General features: G+C 41.6%; 1 annotated feature.

The window, feature by feature from the left end:
* Positions 5,143–5,696: an enhancer, noted in NCBI's record as "NANOG-H3K27ac hESC enhancer chr3:63631069-63631622 (GRCh37/hg19 assembly coordinates)". NCBI's record gives its function as "activates a minimal SCP1, AML or CMV promoter by ChIP-STARR-seq in naive H9 embryonic stem cells {active_cell/tissue: H9 hESC(naive)}" and the evidence as "EXISTENCE:reporter gene assay evidence [ECO:0000049][PMID:30033119]".

A 6,047-nucleotide genomic window follows, 5' to 3' on the forward strand; every position in this document is an offset into this window, starting at 1 on the left:
ACAGCCTCCCAAAGTAGCTGGGATTATAGGTGCCTGCCACCATGCCCAGGTAATTTTTTAATTTTTTTTAATTTTTAGTAGAGATGGGGTTTTACCATGTTGGTCAGGCTGGTTTGGAACTCCTGACCTCAGGTGATCCACCCACCTCGGCCTCCCAGAGTGCTGGGATTACAGGTGTGAGCCACTGGGCCTGGCGGAGGCATACTCTTCTTGACTCTATCAATGTCAATATCTTGGTCATAATATTTTCTAAGATGTTATCATTGGCGAAACTGAGTAAAGGGTACATGGGATGTCTGCATTCATTTTTGCAACTGCATCTAAATCTGCAATTATCTCAAAATTTAAAAAAAATTTAAATTATACAGCATATTTGCTGAAAAATACTAGTGACAACAGTGGCTAGAAGAGTGATTATTAGTGTATTATTATTACATTTGGAGCCAGAGAGATATACATTTTTGCCTTTTTCTACTTCTTTATTGTCTAGAAAGTTATTCTCCCAGACACTCTCATGCTTCCCCCACTCTCTTCCTTTAGCTCTTCAGTCAAAAATCATGTCAGGAGACCTTCCTTGCCCAACTTATATAAAATTGCAGGCTTCCCCATCCCCCACCAGTATTACATATTCCCCATCCCTAATCAATTTTCTTTTCTCCTTAGAACTTATCACCTCTAATGCATTCTATATTTTATTTATTAATCTTGTTTCTGTGTCTTCCTCCTAGAATGTATGCTGTAAGAGGGCAGGGATCTTTGTCAGTTTTGTCTCAGCATTGCATTCTCATTGCTATTAACAGTGTTGGACCCATAGTAAGCACTCAATAAATATGTATTTAGTGAATGAATTGCTAAAATTAATTTCTGTATGTGTGTTACAGGGTCCTCATATGTAAAGTTGAGTTAATGATACTTCTTTTTCATGTTATTATGAGCACTAAATGAGATATTCAAAAACACAACTTTCTCAGGATATATAAAGAATTTCTACAACTCAAAAACAAAAAAAATAGGCCCGGCGCGGTGGCTCACGCCTGTAATCCCAGCACTTTGAGAGGTCAAGGCGGGTGGATCACGAGGTCAAGACATTGAGATCATCCAGTCCAACATGGTGAAACCCCGTCTCCACTAAAAATACAAGAATTAGCTGGGCATGGTAGCATGCACCTGTAGTCCCAGCTACTTGGGAGGCTGAGGCAGGAGAATCGCTTGAACCCAGGATGCGGAGGTTGCAGTGAGCCCAGATCGTGCCACTGCACTCCAGCCTGGCAACAGAGCAAGACTCCACCTCAAAAAAATAAAAATAAAAATAAACAAACAAAAAAAAAACCTGACTTTTTTCTAATTGGGTAAAGGATGTGAATAGACATTTTCCCAAGGAAGATCTACAAATAACCAAACAGTACTTGAAAAGATGCTCTACATCACTAATCATTAGGAAAATGCAAAAAAAAAAAAAAAAAAAAAAAAAAAAAAGGACCACAATGATACCACCTCATTAGAAAGGCTGTAACTGAAACAAAGCAAAACCTAAAAGAACTATTGTCAAGAATGTGGAGATATCAGAACCCTTGTGTCCTGCTGGTAGGAATGTTTCAACTGTGGAAACAGTATGGTGGTTCCCTCAAAAATTAAAAATACCATTGCCATGTGATCCAGCAATTTCACTTCTAAGTGTATACCCAAAAGAATTGAAAGCAGGAACTCAAACAGGTATTGGTACACATGTGTTCATAGAAGTATTATTCATATAGACAAAAGGTGGGGGCAACTCACGTGTCCATTGATGGATGAATGGACAAACAAAATGTGACATATACATTTATACATGCACTGGGCCTTAAAAAGAAAGAAAATTCTGACGCATTACTGGTGAAAGTGTAAAATGGAACACTCCTTTGGAAAACTTTGTCAGTTTCTGAGAAAATTAAACAGAACCTACCCTGTGACCTAGCAATTCCCTGTCTATATGCAAAAGAAATGAGTGATTAGATACACAAAAATACATGTAGAAAGATGTCCATAGAAGCTTTATTCATAATGATTCAAAACTGAAAATAAACCCAATATTTATCAGCAGAAGAATGGATACATAAACTGTGGTATCCTCAAATGAGTATTTTTTGAAGTTCTACTATGTGCAAAACACACCCCTCACCCTTAGCATCTCTTCCTTTAGCAGGCATGACACCCTTTCCTTGGGGATTCCGTTTGTTTCTCTGGTTCCTCTGAAAGCAGGGAGGGAGCAGGAACACTATATATTAATATATCCTGGCACCAGACACAAGCCCAACTTCCCTAGTGGCTATCACACTCTAGATTCTAGGGCACACTGTATTCAACAAATGTCCAATTACATAAACATTTCATGATGCTAGACCCTGAATAGAAGATACAAAAATGATTAAGCCATGATTGTTGATGACAAGATAGTGATTCACAAGTTGATACTTGGACTCAGAAAGACTTGAGCTTGAATCCCAGGTCTTACTAGCTATGTACTCTTGGGCAAGTCCAGGTCTCCTAATCTGTATAAGGCATCTGCACAATGCAAACAATCACAATAGTGCCCACCAAAAGAGCGTCCTAAGAATTTAATGAGAGGATACATGTGAAGTGATGTCCAGTGCCTAGGAGGTTTTAAATCAATGCAATTTATTATTATTATTATTATTAATGTTCTCAACCTAGTGATGAGATAAGGCAAATAGTAACTAATTATAAACATAAAGCAATGATAAGAGATGCCAAATAAAAGTAAAACATGCTTTGAGGATATTTAGAGGGAGAAGAGGCTAATTTGAACTAGCAAAATTCTGGTGAGTTCCTATGAGACTTATAGAGAGTTACGATTTGTCAGCTTAGGAAACAAGAACTGTGGTTTTAATTTTCATGATCAAAAAGTGCAGCAAGAGGTGAAATGACGTAAAATAAATAGCATCAGGTTTGAAACACCCCACAGCCTTAGATTTAAATTGAGGCTTATTCATTAATTAGCCAGAGGATTTTGGACAAGTAATTTAACTCTTCTACACTTCATTTTCATCATTTGCAAATGATGACAATTCTTATTTCTAATGGTTATTGAAAAGAAAAAGAAATATTTATCAAACACCTCACACAATACCAGCTACTCAATGCATAAATTTTAACAATTATGCATTGTTAAACAATATTATATAAATGTTATATAAATATAAAAATAATATATTTTAACATATTAACTGACCATGAAACTAAGGGTCCACACACTATTTCTCTGAGAGTGAGGCTTGGGCAGGGGGCAGTTCTTTTCAAAAAGGCAACCTCATGACCAACCTGGTGGCATTCACCTCCAGCAATGACTCTTCAGCGGTTATAGGCCACTAGGAGAACCTAGTTGTCCTTTCAGCCAGGAAAATTCCCATACACATGAAAATTTTTGCATTCATTCCAGTAGTTCTAACACTCCCTGAAACACAATTCATGAAGTTACTGAGTTTCCAGAACCCTCAATAAATAATGTAGCACCAGAAAAAAAAAAAAAAAATCATGAGCCAAATCTTCAAAGGCAAGTCTTTTAGACTCTCACTCCTATTACCTGATATTAATTTTTACTGAATAGGAACCAAGTTGGCAGACTCAAGTGTAAAGAGCGAACCTGGTAAAAAAAAAAAAAACACTTTTCTCTGTGATGGCATTTTTTTTCTCACTCCGATAGCTGACCAAATTTCATGCACCATTAATACTGTCCTAATCTTCCGCTGCCTGCAGCCTGCCAAGCCCACAGACAAGAGCCCTGCTGCTGTGACCTTCAGGTCGGTGGTCTTGTGTGCTTGTCAGTAAATCCACATGGAGTCGTTTGTCAAACCCCTGCTGCCCTCAACACATTTCCTTCCCCCAAATGGATATCTACTGAGTACACTTAAGCCCTGCCCTCACATTGCCAAAGGGCCAGGTTGACTGAGGGATTTTTAAAATAATGTTTGCCCAGATAGTTTGATAGTGTGTGTAAACAGCCTGAATGTTTTGAGAGATGAGATTCTGATGTAGAAAAAACGGTGCATTTTCACTTGAAATGTCTGTGAAAACTGCTGTATCTTTCTGAAAATGTCAGCTTTAATTTAATCCTGACAATAAGAAGATAATCAATAAATCTCAGATTCTCAGTATTTTGCTTCTGTCATCATTATCATCATCATTAGTATCATCATTCTGCTTCTTACCCATTTGTTCACCTCTCCCTCCCATTCCACTCTCTGCCTTTCTCTATGCCCCCAGAGGCTGATTCCTACAGACCCCATCTCCCGGGCTCCCTCACCGCCAGTTTCCTGATTGGCTTAGTCAATTGGAGGCACAGGCTGCAGCTCAGAGCTTAGGGTGTTTCTTTTCCCTCCCTCCCTGCTTTGCTTGCATTTCTAAGAGTAGCTGCGTCCCTTCAATCACAGCTGCTGTGAAGCGGACCTGCTCCAAGAATTCAGCTCTCACTTGACTCTATAATATTTTCTCTCCTTGCCCCTCAGAACTAAGGTTGGTAACAGCTTCCCACTATTGCTAATCTCTGGATGCTGCAGCACCTCTGCATAGTTTCCTGACCTTGCTCATTGCACATCCTTCTGTGAATGTCTCTGATACCATCATATCGAATATCATCTTCTCTACGACTGTTATTTTATTGATTGCTCCTCACTGTACTGAGTGCCCCAAAACACAAACTCATTTAGCCTTGACAAAAATTCCAATGGGAAAGTATTTCACAGATGAGAAAGCCAACTTAGCAGTTTTAAGGATCTTATTCCAGGTAACACAACTAGGAAGTGTCAGAGTCAGAATTCAAAGCCAGCTCTTCCACTCCAAAGTCTGTATTTAACCACTGCCAACAACTCCGCAACACAGCCCACATAAGAATCACCCGAAGTGTTTGCTGAAAATCCAGATTTTGGGGGAGGAGCCAAGATGGCCGAATAGGAACAGCTCCAGTCTACAGCTCCCAGCGTGAGTGACGCAGAAGACAGGTGATTTCTGCATTTCCAACTGAGGTACCGGGTTCCTCTCACTGGGGAGTGCCAGACAGTAGGCGCAGGACAGTGGGTGCAGCACACTGTGCGCGAGCCGAAGCAGGGCGAGGCATCGCCTCACCAGGGAAGCGCAAGGGGTCAGGGAATTCCCTTTCCTAGTCAAAGAAAGGGGTGACAGACGGCACCTGGAAAATCGGGTCACTCCCACCCTAATACTCCCCTTTTCCAATGGGCTTAAAAAACGGCACACTAGATTATATCCCTCACCTGGCTCAGAAGGTTGTATGCCCACGGAGTCTCCCTCATTGCTAGCACACCAGTCCGAGATCAAACTGCAAGGCGGCAGCGAGGCTGGGGGAGGGGCGCCCGACACTGCCTAGTTAGTTGTTTGATTAGGTAAACAAAGCGGCCTGGAAGCTCGAACTGGGTGGAGCCCACCACAGCTCAAGGAGGCCTGCCTGCCTCTATAGGCTCCACCTCTGCGGGCAGGGCACAGAGAAACAAAAAGACAGCAGTAACCTCTGCAGACTTAAATGTCCCTGTCTGACAGCTTTGAAGAGAGTAGTGGTTCTCCCAGCATGCAGCTTGAGATCTGAGAACGGGCAGACTGCCTCCTCAAGTGGGTCCCTGACCCCCGAGTAGCCTAACTGGGAGGCACCCCCCAGTAGGGGCGGACTGACACCTTACACGGCTGGGTACTCCTCTGAGACAAAACTTCCAGAGGAATGATCAGGCAGCAGCATTTGCAGTTCACCAAAATCCACTGTTCTGCAGCCACTACTTCTGATACCCAGGCAAACAGTGTCTGGAGTGGACCTCTAGCAAACTCCAACAGACCTGCAGCTGAGGGTCCTGTCTGTTAGAAGGAAAACTAAGAAACAGAAAGGACATCCACACCAAAAACCCATCTGTACGTCACCATCATCAAAGACCAAAGGTAGATAAAACCACAAAGATGGGAAAAAAACAGAGCAGAAAAACTGGAAACTCTAAAAATCAGAGCGCCTCTCCTCCTCCAAAGAAACGCAGCTCCTCACCAGCAACGGAACA

The sequence above is a fragment of the Homo sapiens genome, chromosome 3 (assembly GCF_000001405.40).
Source record: "Homo sapiens chromosome 3, GRCh38.p14 Primary Assembly".
Lineage (NCBI taxonomy): Eukaryota > Metazoa > Chordata > Mammalia > Primates > Hominidae > Homo > Homo sapiens.